The sequence below is a fragment of the Homo sapiens genome, chromosome 7, assembly GCF_000001405.40.
Source record: "Homo sapiens chromosome 7, GRCh38.p14 Primary Assembly".
In the NCBI taxonomy this organism is placed as follows: Eukaryota; Metazoa; Chordata; class Mammalia; order Primates; family Hominidae; genus Homo; species Homo sapiens.
The window spans coordinates 36,302,409-36,317,994 of record NC_000007.14 but is presented as its reverse complement, the minus strand read 5'-3'; the positions used below and the strand labels follow the sequence as shown (position 1 = coordinate 36,317,994).

At 50.5% G+C, this 15,586-nt stretch overlaps 1 annotated feature.

Annotated features, from left to right (window-relative positions):
- Positions 5,946-6,463: an enhancer, noted in NCBI's record as "H3K27ac-H3K4me1 hESC enhancer chr7:36351141-36351658 (GRCh37/hg19 assembly coordinates)". NCBI's record gives its function as "activates a minimal SCP1, AML or CMV promoter by ChIP-STARR-seq in naive H9 embryonic stem cells {active_cell/tissue: H9 hESC(naive)}" and the evidence as "EXISTENCE:reporter gene assay evidence [ECO:0000049][PMID:30033119]".

Sequence of the window (15,586 nt, the reverse complement as noted above, 5' to 3'; positions counted from 1 at the left end):
TCTACAAGAACATGAACATACTAAATGTTGAGGATGAGAATGAAGGCCTTTGCCTCCACAGCCTGCAGAAGCCATCTGGAAGCTGCCAATGGTGGGGACCGAGGCTGAGGCTGGCTCCTAGAAGTTTTCATCCTCTTATGCTTTCACTGCTCCTAGCTGGCAGCACATCTTCCACCCAAGAACCTCAATGCCAAAACCACTCAGAGTCTGACTGCTTCTTGCCAGGAGACCTATGAGACCCCTCTAGGAGATAAGAATGAAAAGATCTGATTTCCAACTTCTCTGCAATTTGGTCTTCTTAGATAAGTAAATGATGATCAATGCTGTTCAGAAAAATTCAGAAGAAAACTTCAGAGAAATTCCTAGAGCTGCAGTTGCTTACCAGTTCTGTAAATAGTAAGGATTTACCCAACATCAGTCTTGTTTGGTAATTAGATTAGTGAAAAAATCCTCACTGCCAGCTCCATTAGGAAAGTGAAGCCAAGGACTTAAGACTTTTAATAAAATAGCCACAGTAACAATAGTTCCCCTGCTGTTATCTGTCTGTCAGCTTCAATCCTAAACTTTTTCAGCTGCCTGGCTGATCTCTGACATAGGGCCAGGTAGCTATCATCCTTGCTACTGAAAGAATCCCTTACCTAGCCATTGAAAGCCACACCAAAATTCCAAGTAAATAAACCACCACAGTTCTTGACATTTTAGTCAGCCCCGTCTATATCGTCTTTAGTATTATTTATGGTAGGCTCAAACTGGGCATGACGGTACGTTCCCAGCTACTTGGGAGGCTGAGGTGGGAGGATCGCTTGAGCCTAGGAGTTTGAGGACAGCCTAGGCAAGATAGCGAGACCTCATTTCTGTAAAGAAAATATGTAACACACACACACACACACGGCAGCACCCTGTTTTAACCAACTCCCTCCACATCAGTATTTCTCAAAGTATGAGCCTCAGAGCATGGCCACCAATTCAACTGGGCCACAGGCCAGGCCTAGTCAATGTTTCTTCATCAGACTCTGGGTTAGGGCTTAGGAATCCACAGGTCAGGAAGTCCCACGGGTGATTCTTCCAGGTATCTACGTGTGAGGACCACTGCCCCGGGAAAAATTCTCCTTGCTGGATATCATGAAGGAAACTGGAGGCCTGGGGAATTGCCCCCCATCACTCAGCAAGTCTGGTGGTATCGACGGCCTAGTCCTTGTGTTCCTGATTCTGTCCTTGGGCTTTTAGAGTCCAGAGAATGGGGGAGATTTATAGTCCAGAAAATTCATAGGAACCCTTCATGCATAGAACAGGTATGGTGCCCATTTGCCAAGAGGTAAAGCCATCTCTGGAATTTCTATTTTAAAATGCCACTTCCAGGTATCTCAGAACTCAGAGCAAAGAGACTACCACACAATACACAGCAGGCCTGGGGCTGGAGCCTGTCACTCTTCTCTGGCTGTGTCCAAAGTAGCTGATGCTGGTGCAGCCACAACCCCAGCCAATCGCACTCACTCCTCATCACTGGAGTCCTCCTTAGTGCGCCTCACCCTGAGCATTGATCCTTTAAGTAAATAATTCATCATGATGAAAGTCAGCAAGACACTGCGTCCTCCATCACTGACTGTGGATCGGAATTCGGCCGGCTAAGCAGACACTATATTAGGCACTCCCAGAACCAAAAGCACCAAGCGAAGCCTGCCTTATGTGGTTTGACCCCAGAGCTCAGGAAAACAGAAGCAGGTGAGAAATCCCTTCCATGGCCTTTTATCTCTCTCCCTTCTTCCTCGTCCCCAGGCCACCTGGAAGGAGGGAGTCGGTGAACCATCTCTTTTCCTGCTGCTCTCTTTAGCAGGCCTTCGAACTTCACTGCCCTTGCAGACCCAAGTTTTCCACATTACCAAGCCCAGCCTGGCCACCCAGGCACACAGATTTGAGAAAAAGAGGGTGCCTCCCTCCATCCCTACCTTCCTGGAGGGATAAAGGCAGAAGCAGGAGACACCCCTGGGAAGCAAGAGCAAGGCCCCAGGGTGCCTAGGACAGGGCCTCACCTTTGCCTTTGAAGCTTATCCTTGCTATCGCAGGCTGCGCCTGCACTCCTGGCCTGCAGTGGCCCGGTGGCCTGGCTACCCCTGAACCTCTGCCGTCTCCTTTCTGCTGTCTGTGTGTTTCTGGGGCAAAACCAAGCTCTCAGGTCAACCTCAGCTACTCAGCCTTCTAAGCAGTTTCCAGAAAGCAGGAAGTAGCAGGAAATGCTCCCTAGACTGTCTCATTTGCATGAGCCCCGCCCACCTTTGTCAAGGACGTTTGTTTTCCGTGACCCTCCTTCCAATCTGACTTCTTTCATTATCCCCCACCCACTGCACTCACTCCTTAGCTCAGTAAAACTCGAGTCCCTAATGCCCTCCCAACAATAATAATTTAATTAAATAATTTGTCGCAATAGAAGTCAGCAGAGTACTTGGGAAATGGCATCTTCCATCACTGACTACTGGCAATTGGCCAGACACCAAAACCAAAAGCTGCAGGGCAATCCTGCCTTATGTGGTTTGACCCTGAAGGTCAGGGTTGCCCCTACTCTCACTGGTGGCCTCTCTCATGCCCAGCAAACTCCTTCCAACAAGGGTCCCCTTGCCTATTTTCAGTGGTGGTTTAAACTCTGTGCCCCCCACTTCTGATGGGGCCCTGACATCTGAACTTGTCCCCCTGTATGGTGTTGGCTCCCACAAAGGGGCCTCCTCATGCTTGGCTGGGGACCGTCCACCCCTGGACACTGCTCAGCTCTGCACAGAAGCCAGGATTGAAAGACATCCTCCAGACTGTAGAAAATTGCCCCCATCCCCAGGGCATGTTCTGCATTTCTCAGTGCCATCCTGCTCACAGATTTGGGTGGTCTGGGAACTCCCCAAACCTTTCCATCCACATTGCACTCCTGTCTTCCCTAGAGACACTTGGCCACCACTGAAGATAATGATGGTGGTGACGATTTCATGCCAAATATATTTCATTTAATCTTTATGACAATATTAAAGGTAGTAGACATACCTCCATTTTTCAGGTAAAGAAACTGAGAGGCTCAGAGGGGTCGAGTGACTTTCCCAAAGTCACACCAATAGTAATTTCCGGAAAGGATCTGAACAGGAGTTTGGGCTCATAACACCCATTATAGCCATGCTCTTAGTGCTACCCAGGGCTTCCCTCACTCTCTTCCTGTCAATGCCCTGAAACTTGCTTCAACCTCCAGCTCCACCTGGCACCTTTCCAGGGACCCACTCCCAAAGGGTGGGTAAATGTCACCCTAGCTCTGATGCTCAGACGCAGAGATACTGCAGAGAGGATGGGGTAGTGGTGGTGGAAGAAAGCAAGGAAGGGAGAGGACACCCTTGAGGTGAGAGACAAGCTTCACTGGTAACCCCAGGGTTTCTCTGCTCTCTGCTCTCTCCCTCCCCACATCAGGATCTGCCCTGGGTGACAAGACCAAGGGAGGTGAGCTGGTGGAGACCGGCACCATCCCAGGTCTCCCTCAGCCTATTTGTTGCTGCTCTTGGCTACAGAGCCTTCTTTGGGGAGGCGGGCAGAGCCACATTCCACCTGACTTTGTGGGGCTGAGTAGTTCTCCTGCATTCCCTCTCTGAACTTCATTCATTCATTTGCTTCTCCAATGCCATGATGTGCCAGGTTCTGGGGATACAGACATGATCATCTATTAGTCTCCTAGGGGTGTCATAACAAATTACCATCAATTGAGAGGCTTACAACTAGAGAAATTTATTCACCCATGGTACTGGAGTCAGGGAGTCCAAAATCAAGGTATGAGCGAGGCCACTCCCTCTGAAGCCTGCAGGGAGGACCCTGCCTCTCCTCTTCCAGCCTCGGACGCTGCTCCGCAGTGTTCCTTGGCTTGCAGCTCCATCACTGTAATCTCTGCCTCCGTGGCCACTTGGCCCTCTCCCTGTTTGTTTCTGTTTTTTCTTCTTCTTATATGAATACTAAGTCATATAGGATGAAGGGCTCACTCTACTCCAGTAGGACCTTATCTTAATTGTGTCTGCAATGACCCTATTTGCAAATAAAGTCACAGTCTAAAGTACTAGGGGTTAGGATTTTAATATAAATTTTGAGGGGACACATTTCAGCCCATAAGAAAAGGTAACAGCCTCCCTGCTCTTAAAACATCATCATGATCAATCATCACCATCGTCATCATCATCATCATCATCATCGGGACTGTCATCTTCAGGTAAGCTTCCCTCTACTTCTCTACATGTGCAGTCTGGCTGGGAGGCAGGCCTGACAGCCGAGGCACTCCACGGTTTGATGTGTGTTCTCATAGAGGAATGTCCCACCCTTGACGGGAGCACAGCAGACCCATCATGGAAGGCTCTGGAAGGGCAGGTTTCCCCACCCGCTCCCAACTGCCTGGGCAGTTGACCTATAGGCACCCTAGTTCAACTTGTCCAAAACGGGGATTAGCATCTTCTCCCCAAACCTGGCTCTTTTCCTGAATTTTTCTTTTTTCTTTTTTTTTAAACCTAACAAAGATCAACTTCTTAGAAACCTGAAGCTGGTCAGGGTGGAGGCAGAACTCGAACCCATGTCCTTGTGACACTCAACAGTGTCCCAATAGCCCACCTCTGCACTTGCTTTCCAGCCCCTCAGGCCTTTCTCTGAGACTAGTGTGACCAACCTGGCCCCCACCAGCTCTGCTAACACCTTAGCCGAAGGACCGCACAATAATATGCCGGCAACGAGAGCCATCCCCCATCCCTGCCCCGATACCTGCGCCGCTCCCGGCACTGCGGATGCAGGCCCCCTCCTCTACCTGTTCCTACTCCCACACAAGCCTGCAATGCTCCCCAGCGCCGCAGAACCACCTCAACATCCTTAGCCTGCCTTGGAAGAGCTGGCCTGTGGCTCCCGTCAGTCTCCTCTCCATATCTCGTCCTAAGCTCTTGCCAGGAGCAGCCACATCACTGCTGTCCTCCCTCCACACCCCGGCCCTCCTGGTCCCCTCTTCCGGGGATGCCATCTGCTACTCACCCGGTCAGGTCCCCGCTCAAGGGGACCTCTCCCAGGAAGACTCCTCAGACTCGCCTCCAGCTGAGCAGGTTCTCCCTCCTTCCTCAGGTTCACACAACACTCTTTATCTCCGCTGCAAACGTTTTTCTGCATTTATTCTTAATTGTGAGCCTCCCTCTAAACTGTTAAAAGCCAGGCCACAGGTGTCGGAGCTGAGCTGGAATCCTGACTTTGTTGCCTCCTGGCGGCGAGGCCCAGGTACTGGTTACTTATCTTCTGAGTTTCGGTTTTCTTTTCTGCACCATGGGGCTGAGGTGAGGTTTAAGGCGCCTTGCCAGGTGTGTGGTGCTGACAAGGCTGGCAGCGAGCACCTGTTCACTTCGGTGCCCTCCCTTCTTCCCCTAAGGAATACCTCCCCACCTCTTTTCCATCTGCTGGACGCCCCGCCCTCAAATATGGGTTCTTGTAGACCTTGTGGGTAGTGCTGGGCTCTTCTCTGACAGAGACAAACATCTCTGGGGCCTGGCAACTGGGGAAGGGACTGATTGTCAGGCAGGAGGTGGCACTCAGAGGCTGGGCACAGTGGCCCCCACCTGTAATCCCAACACTTTGGGAGGCCAAGATAGGAGAATTGCTTGAGCCCAGGAGGTCCTGACCAGCCTGGGCAACATAGGGAGACCCCATTTCTACAAAAACTGGGGGAAAAAAATAACCTGTGGGGTGGTTGAGTGCCTGTGGTCTCACCAGCTACTTGGGAGGCTGAGGTGGGAGGATTGGTTGAGCCCAGGAGGTCGAGGCTGCAGTAAGCCATGCTTATACCACTTCGCTGCAACCTGGGAAACAGAGTAAGACCCTGTCTCAAAAACAGTGGCACTCGGATGACAGCCCTAGACAGGCAGGAGGGCTCATCGCTGTCCACTTCTGGGCCTCACTCAGAGAGAGGCCTTGTTGTCCAGTTCCACTCAAGGTCCTCCCAGGAGGCAGGGGCTGCTGGCGTCTGCCAGGTGGGGTCAGGCAGGGAGACCACCCATCTACTCCCACAAGCTGAGGATGAGAACATTCCACCTTATAGGCCACATAAAGCTGCTTTCATGATTCCCTGGGGTTGTTTCTTCTTTGCTCTCCTTAAGTCTTGGGTAAAGGCTGGGTTACCTGCTCCAGCTAGGCCTAGCTGTGCTGCGGACAGAAGTGTTGCAGGTGGGAAGGTGAGTGCCCCGTGGCAGCCCTGTGGCCACAGCAGGAAGGAAACTCTGGGCAGAGGGCTGGGCTGGCCTGCTCAGGCCCTCTCAGCTGAGGAGAACCAGCCCCAGGCATCCCCAGCCTGGAGGCTCAGGGTTCAATTTCATTAAGGCGGGGGTGGTAGCCGGGGCAGTGGGCACGGGGCCTCACACCTGTAATCCCAGTACTTCGGGAGGCTGAGGCGGGTGGATCACTTGAGGTCAGGAGTTCAAGACCAGCCTTGTCAACACGGTGAAACCCCGTCTCTACTAAAAATACAAAAATTAGCCAGGCATGGTGATGTGCGCCTGTAATCCCAGCTACTCGGGAGGCTGAGGCAGGAGAATCGCTTGAATGCAGGAGAATTGCTTGAACACAGGAGGCAGAGGTTGCAGTAAGCCAAGATGGCACCACTGCACTTCAGCCTGGGCAACAAGAGGGAAATTCCATCTCAAAAAAAAAATAAAAATTTCATTAAGGTGACCCACGGTTTTCTTACACATGATAGAAGATGGAGGGATGAATTGTTTTGCCTGGCTGTTGGGTGAGGCTTCTCTGAGCCAGGAGAGAGAGAAAGAAGTTTCCCTTTGACCTGGTGGGTGCTCAGACTCCTCCTGGCCACATCTTTAGTGGAGACTCACGGAGAGGTGAACATGGAATACAAGAGGATCCCACTCCGGCCTGGCTAGCAGCTTCCCATCCAGGCTTGCGCAGCTGCAGGAGCGCTGCACTGGAGACCGTATACCCAGACCAGGGAGGAGTGGCCCTGGAAGGCAGGGATCTTCCTGCTCCCTCTCCCCCAACCCCACTCCCAGGGCCTATCCTGGTGGGTGCCCAACAGGTGATTAACGCACAAAAAGCAACCGAGGGCTTTTAAATAGCCCTTTCTTCTTTTCTCTCTGGGACTTTTAATTTACCCTTCAAATACATACATTTTAATGTTCCCCTTTTAGGATTAAACACTGAATTCCTTTTGGTGATTCTTTCCAGGGACTGGCATAAAAGGAAGGAATTACAGAGGCAAATCCCTTCCACACACGCCCACCCCTAACTGCGAGAACGCTGGCACCTCGGTCTACAGGGAAATGCAGTACTTGCTGATTCTTTTAAAAAGTATACATTTTGGCCAGGCGCAGTGGCTCATGCCTGTAATCCCAGCACTTTGGGAGGCCAAGGTGGGTGGATCACCTGAGGTCAAGAGTTCGAGACCATCCTGGCCAACATGGTGAAAGCCCATCTCTACTAAAAATACAAAAAAAAAATTAGCTGGGCATGGTGGCGCATGCCTGTAATCCCAGCTACTCGGCAGGCTGAGGCAGGAGAATCGCTTGAACCCGGGGAAGTGGAGGTTGCAGTGAGCTGAGATCACGCCATTGTACTCCAGCCTGGGCAACAGAGCAAAACTCCGCTTCAAACAAAAAAAAAAGTTATGCTTTAAATAAATATGTTTTTATTCCTTTAAAAAGTGTGTTTTATTATTTTTTGTGGCTTGGGCTTTTTATTATTTGTGCATTGTATTCATTGTGTTGTGAAACATTTCAAACATACACAAAAGTAGAAAGAAATATATTATGAACCCCTATGTTCCCTTGACCCAGGTTCAACAACTATCTACGTTTTGCAAATTTAAGTGGATTTCTAACTCTACTCAACCCTTCCCATGCCGGGGAAGGAGGAAGAGATAGACCATCTGTTTATTAATTAATCCTAAAGTTTCTAGAAAACTTGCACTTCTAATTCTGTTTTATGAAACCTCCTGCCTTCTGGGCTGATGATGGGCAGGCCCAGGCTGCAGGGCCCAGGGGGCTCTCGGCAGGAGAGGCTGCTAACCGAGAGGAGGAAGCCGGAAGCCCTGGAGCTCAACCATTCATTCCCACAGCAGAATTCTCTGCTGGGGAGGCGCTCCGCCATTCCTCAGTCTGGGCTGGAACTGAGGCTTTCAAGGGCTAAAGGTACCCACCATGAACCAAGCAAGGATACCCCTTTCACAGCTTCGCTCAGCTCTTACTCTTCTGGGAGGCTGAAGTTCCTCTGCTGTCTCCGCTCTACCCAACCAGCAGAGCTGTCCTGCACTGCAGCCAGCTTGTCTCACCCTTCCACGGAGGCTGCTCCTGCCCTGGGTAGAGGCGCTGACTGAGAGGGGACACCAGGCAGGAGCCCAGGGCCGGAAGAACCTCCTCACCCACCAGGCCCAAGGGTGCTAAGCCAGCAGCAATTTTCCAGATGGCTGCTGCCTGGCGTGATTTGAGACATCTTCCCCAATTCTACTTAGGAAATACTCCAGACACCTGAGGCTGGGCCCAGGTGTGTGGGAAAGGCCGTTGGGCTGACCCGGAAGAAGTTGCCTAAGGGTTGTTCTGGTAACTTTTGAAGAAGAGAGTGGTGCCTGAGGCTCTGCTTGGATAAGTCACCGCTGTCAGGACCTGCTGCGGGGAGACCAGCGTCTCAGTCTCTCTCTCAAGACAGCTCCCTAAGGAAAGATGAGATAGGAGGGGGCTGGAGCAGCAGCACCCCCAGGGGAGGAAGGGGCCTGCAGGCTGCAGGATGAAGGGAAGTCAGTTCAGTCCGTTTTTTCTTAACTCAGCTTTGTGCTCGTGATTATATTATTTCCTTTCTGATTACCAAATTGATGCTTTCATATTCATTGCAGAAAATTAAGAATATATTTAAGAATGGAAACAAAAATGCTCTGTTACACATACACACACACACACACACACACACACACACACAGAGAGAGAGAGAGAGAGAGAGAGAGAGAGAGAAAGAGAAAGAGAATAGAGTAAAAGTATGGGCTAAGAATTCCGGCTTTGGCCGGACGTGGTGTCTCATGCCTGTAAACCCAGCACTTTGGGAGGCCAAGGCAGGCTGATCACCTGAGGTCAGGAGTTCAAGACCAGCCTGGCCAACACGGTGAAATCCCGTCTCTACAAAAAATACAAAAATTAGCTGGGCATGGTGGTGCGCACCTGTAGTCCCAGGTACTCGGGAGGTTGAGGCAAGGGAATCGCTTGAACCTGGGAGGCAGAGGTTGCAGTGAGTTGAGATTGTGCCGCTGCACTCCAGCCTGGGTGACAGAACAAGATTGTCTAAAAAAAAAAAAAAAAGAACACGGGCTTTGGAGTTAGGCTGTTTTCAGCTCCCACCTCCACTTCTGGCTTCTGGAAAATTGTTCATCTCTGAGCCCTGGCACCCTGGGTACTAAGCCATGTTTCACCGGATTGTCTGGAGAACTGTATGAGAAATATTCATAAAGTTTCTAATATAACTTCTGGCCCTAATAAGCCCTTGATAAATACCAATTCTAATGTGGCTGAAAAATTCTTTGAAAAATTTAATTTTGCCTTCATTGTCCACCTAAGAGATGGTCCCTGCTCCACTGGAAGGCAATCAGCCAGCAAGACGCCACCTCCACCCAGTCATCCTCACACGGGGCACTCACTGTGGTCAGAAGAGAAATGAAAGGACAGTGACTCGAGGCCAAACCAAAGTGCTTTTCCAGGATGCAGTGTTGATTTGCAATTTTCCCACAAGCTTAGGCCATACCTCATTCATCCCCAGAGTCTCTGGGGACAGTCGGAAACAGGCCTTCCCAGGAGGGCCACGAGCTTCCGCCAGCCCCGTTCTCCAGGATGGGGCCAGAACAGCACCTGCCCGTGGTGGTGCTGCCTTTCACTGGGGCCTTTGCTGTGGTCCTGCCTTGCCCCTTCCTAGTATCATCGTCTGCCTGGGTGTGTCCGTGTCTGTCTGTCTCCCTGGCCCAGCTCCTATTCTAGTGTCTGATCTGATTGGTTAGTGGTTAGTGTCCTATGGCTGTCAAAGATACAAGCTCACCCCTGCTTAGTACAGTGCCTGACCCACTACAGATGATAAAGAACTTTTTTTTTTTTTTTGAGATTGATTCTTGCTCTGTCACCCAGGCTGGAGTGTGATGGCATGATATCGGCTCATTGCAATCTCTGCCTCCTGGGTTCAAGTGATTCTCCCGCCTCAGCCTCCCGAGTAGCTGGGATTACAAGCCCAGCACCACATCTGGCTAATTTTTGTATTTTTAGTAGAGACACGGTTTCACCATGTTGGCCAGGCTGGTCTTGAACTCCTGACCTCAGGTGACCCACCCGTCTTGGATTCCCAAAGTGCTGGGATTACAGGCATGAACCACTGCACCTGGCTGATAAGGAACTATTTTTTAATGTGGATGGATGGAACCATCCATAAATTATTCTTACAACTACATTTGGCTTCTGTGCAGCAAGAATGTCTCTGCAATCTGTATGACAACAGCTAAGCGGATGAAGGGCAGAAGTAAAGCCACTGGGAGGTGGCCAGAGAGAGAACAGGGTTCAGCTTGCAGAGGCTTAAAAGGCACATTTCTGGAAAGGAATGCAAGTCCTACAGTACCCAGAAGATGCAGGTGCACCTCTGACACTGCAGGCTTCTATTGATAACCCGTTCTTTTTATCTATCAATTTATGTAACTCGTACTTGTTTATATTTTCAATCAGGGTTTGGAAGAGGGAGGAGGGAGGTGGGAGTGGGTGGTAATCATGGTAGAAGAAATGTGTTCTGGAAATAAGCCCTGAGGTGAGTAAAGGCACACTTGCCTCGAACAATTGAAGGTCTATGACATGCCTGGCTCTGTGCTTGGTTCTTTGGAGAGTAAGTTTGAACTAGGATGTGGTCACTAGTGTACAACAGGGCTTCCTAACCTCTGCATTATTGACATTTGGGGTCAGACTTGCTGGAGAAGCAGGGGTTGTCTGCGTTGTAAGATGTTAGCAGCATCCCGGGGCTCTACCCACTAGACGCCAGTAGCACCATCACCCCAGCTGTGACAACCAACGATGTCTCCAGACATTGTGAAATGCACCTCTCCCCATTGGAAACCACTTGAACCTCCATCTGACGTTAAGTAGCAAGGCAAGACAGTGAGCAAATAAGTGCCAGGAAATCCCATGGACGTTTAGGACCACCGGAGTCGAGGCAGGCAGGGAACCGGCATGGGATGGAGTGGTTGCAGAAGACCCTGGAGGTGGATGTTGGGGCGGGGATTGGGAAGGGTTTCTGGGTTGGGTGGATTCCAGTGGATAGAAGATTTTAGGCAGGAGGAAAAGCACACGCTAAGGCTCAGGGTCAGCAATGAGGAAGGGTGCTAGAAGGGCAGTCAAGACTCTGAATTGACTGCAGAAGAGGGTACTTGTTTTCATTTTAAAATAACAGAATCCATGCTTTAAAAATTGCAAGGCTCAATGAGGAGTCTGGGCTTCTCCCTCAGTATAGTTTGGCAGTTTGTGTGGTTTCGAGACTTTTTTCATATAAGCCGACAGGCCGTGTCTTTCCAGACTGAAGCATCTCCATCCTCTGGATATCTTCCCAGCTATGGAGGAGCTGGGTCTCCACCCATGTTTTGCACTGAAGAACCAAGCCCTGGCCTTGGTGATGTGCTGGTAAATGTCTAACAACGAGCTCTCAGTGGAAAGTGTTCTGATTTGTAGCCTTTGTCAATCTTCATGGCGTAAATACTCTCACCAAGGGCAAAGCCTAGCTACCAATAACTAACAGCCGGCTGGTAAAATTCCTGAAACTTGAACAATCAGCTCCTATGAGCAAGTAGGAGCTGACTCCAGCCCACCTCTGCCTGCATAGCTCTCTACGAGTCCTGTGGAGAACTTTATTCTTTTAGCAGCTCAAAAAAAGTCTTACATATTTATTACTAAGCCAAACTACAAGTTCAGAGCATAGGAACAAAGAGAAAAATCCTTTCCCTAATAAAATATGTTGAACTGTCCCAATAGTGGTAATGTTTTTGGCTTGATGAGGTCAGACACTAGGGATCTTGCATCAATATGTGCGTATCTCAGACCCAGTTCCCAAGAGGCCCAGCTTGGTTCTGCTCCAGTGTCTCTCCTGGGAGTTGTACCTGATGGTTTTTGCCATCACAGCTCTCTGCAGCCTGGAACTCACAGACTCAAGCAATCCTCCTGCCTCTGCCTCTCGAATAGCTGGGACTCCAGGTGTGCGCCACCACGCCCGGCCAGTACCTGTCTTTATTACCAGTTTCCATCTGAATCCACTGGGGAATGGGACAATTTTGTTTTTGTTTCTTGGCTAGGAATTGCTTAATCCTGAAAGTTTTGTGAGAAGACATGGTAGGAACAGGGACGACAGCACACGGCACAATGGTGGAGCTTGGCAAGCATGGGAGTGTAGGAGCTCAGAAGCGCGGGAGACGGGGAGCATGGGAGCGTGAGAGAGCGGGAGCATGGGATCATGGGAGCATGTGAGAGTGGGGAGCATGGGAGCCTGAGAGTGGGAGCATGGGAACACGGAAGCTCGGGAGATGGGGAGCATGGGAGCGTGAGAGAGTGGGAGCATGGGAGCATGGAAGAGGGGGAGCACGGGAGCATGAGAGAGTGGGAACATGGGAGCATGGGAGAGGGGGAGCATGGGAGCACGAGTGTGTGAGAGAGTGGGAGCATGGGAGCGCAGGAGAGTGGGAGCGTGGGGGCATGAAAGAGTGGGAGCACGGGAGAGCGGGCCTCGCATGCTACGCTCATCCAAGGTGGCCTTTAATTTGTTCAAACACATGTGGCCTCCATTTCAGGAGTCAGCACCATTTTTGGGGGGGGGTCCTAATTTTAAAAATGTTTACTGAACTGGATTATTTATCTTAAATCGGGGCTTTTTTCCCCCTAAATTTCCATGCAACTTTTTCAGATGGCTTTTTAATAATTGTTATTTGTAATAATGTCAATAGCTATGAATAATGAATTCTGTCTTCCCTGCTAAACTGTAAGCTTCACACAAAAGGGATTATCCCGTGAAGTGTCAGGCACACATTAGGCCTTCAGTAAATATGAGTTGGATGGATGGATGCTTGGGCTTTGATCATTCTCTCCCCTCCCCCTTCCTCTCTCCCTTATTTCACTTACTTAATTTATTCTAACCAGCCAGCTGCTAAGTGGGCAGGCTGGAGAAGGTGCTATTCATGAAGTTCCTAGGAAGGAAGTGTCCAGTGTCAGCCTGGTCCCAGAGGCTCTGAATGAGGGTTCACTGCAACTTCCAGCCTGGCCCAGAGAGAGAGTTCTGTACCAACGAGCCACTCAGATCCAAGTGATGGCTCCATCCAAACCACTTTAGAAATCACACCTCAAGGCCATACTGAATTGGATTGTCCTTATTTAAAGCATTTCAAAGTAAAACATCCAAGTATTCCTTTACTGAGGGGGGAGAAGTAGGAATCAAGCCCAAGAAAACATCTCCAGGCACTGAACTGCTAATGCAGCCTTGCACCAGCCCAGCCCTAGGACTTGTCAGCCGGCACCCCGAAAATCCAACAGGCCTCAGGCTGCTTAAGCCCATTAATGAAGCACAGTACACTAGGGTATCTGGTGTGCACACATGAGCACGTGTCGTTGTGTACACATCCTCACAACTCTGCATGGCCAACACCTTTGCTCATTCACCCTCAAACCTCAATTCCTGCACCAACAAAGCATCCCTTGGCAAACACTGCCCCTCTCAGGGGGGTTTTCTCTCCAGGATGCAGTGGTGGATCATGCCGAGGCACGAGCTCTTAAGTCGTCTCCAATCCTCTCCCGGCTGATTCCTCTAGAAGCACAATGACCTGCCCCCTGACTGCATGACCTACCCTTCCCAAGCCCCTCACAACACCACTCACAATGTGTCTGCTCATGCAGGCTGCTCTGCGGACACTCCTTGGAGAGGCTGGGCCTGCCAAATTCAGTGACCATCCCAGGGAATGTTGGCTGTCCCTCCCCACAGGAATTCACCCAGTGGCCTCCTGTCCTTGTGCTCATGGTAAATCCAAGGTGCTGTGTGTGTGTGGTCCCCAGAGAAGCTTTATTGAGTTTCCCACTGAGTTTCTCTACCAGGAACAGCTGGAGCCTGGGAGCAGCGGTTTTTGGCCCTGAGAGAGCCTCTGGGTTTTTCTTAATAATCAGTGTGCATGTGACAGGTACCACTGGCCCAGGGGTCCCTACTTCCGAGGGCCCAAATTGACCAGTGGAAAGTATAGAATTCCATGCTATTGGGAAACCACAAAGCTTGGAAGGAGCAGAGAGAGCCTGGGGATACAATGTAAACACTAAGAAATAAGCAGTGAAAGATTATTTTTAGAAACGCTGCCACTTAGTGAGCCCTTATGATGTGTCAGAGCATTTGAAACAAATGGCTTCCCTGCAGTGTCACACCACTGGCCCTGCAGTCAGATGCCCTGAGAGCTGGGCAGATGTTTGTTTTTCACAACCTTCTCAGAGAGGTTTTGTCCTCACTTAATAGACAAGAAAACTGGGACTTTGCCAGACATCTTGAACGTGCAGGGGCCAGCAGCTATGACACAGAGAGCTGGGACAGAAGCCAGGCCTGCTGCCTCCAAATCCTGGGCATGTAGCCATGGAGCAGTGACAACACACCCGGGGTCCTCAGGGGAGAAGTGCCACCCACTCTGTCTGTGGTGTAAGAGTTTATGTCCAACTAAGCCCAGGCAGAGGCACTTTGCCTCTGGGTGCAGGGCGTGCTGGTAGAAGTGCAACGCTGGTGGGCAGGCATTCTGGCTCTGCCCTTTCTCCTTGTACAGCCCTAGCCTGGTTACCTTCTCCATGCCTCAGTTTCCTCCTCTGTGAAAGGAACAGAAGAAAGATAATAGGACCAACTTGATTGCACTGTTCTGAGGATGAAGTCAGTTTAAAGTATGAAGTGCTTAGAACAGTAAGGGGTCAATAAGTGGGGGCATGGGTTATTTGAAACTGTATGCTAAGTTTAAGACCCGTGAGTGCTGTTCAAGTCATTAATTCCTCTCCCCAGAAAACAAACCCTGTAGCTGTCTCAGGTGAGATTCACTTAAGGTGGAGACTTAAGCCACGCTGGGCAGAACCGAAAACCCAGGTGTTAGGATTCTCACCCATTCCAGAGGGCAATGTTATCTGCACTGAGGAGAATTCTGATGTCAGAACCAAAGAAACACAAAGAAGAAAATAGCATCCCCTTGACTTTGAAAGAAAGCAGCCCTTTAGGAAAGGCCAAGCCCGTGTCCTCCCTTGCAGTCCCTAGAGCAGCCATGAGGGAGTCAAAGCTTGGGCCTAGTTATTTGAGGCCCAGGAGGGCTTCCCGCCTCTAGTCAGTCACCCCTGCAGTGCCGGCAGAGCTGATAGAGATGGCTGGGTCCCCACCCCTGCATAGAAAGAGCCATCTCTGATCTGTGGTAGACAATGGGCAGGAGAGGAGAGAGGTTCCATTGGGGCGTGGAAGGGACAGTTGGCTGCCTGCGGTTCTCCTATGATAGGGAGAGCAGGGAGAATGCCGTGGGCTCCTAGTCAGCGCCTGTGGGACTGGAAGAGCTTTTCTTGTA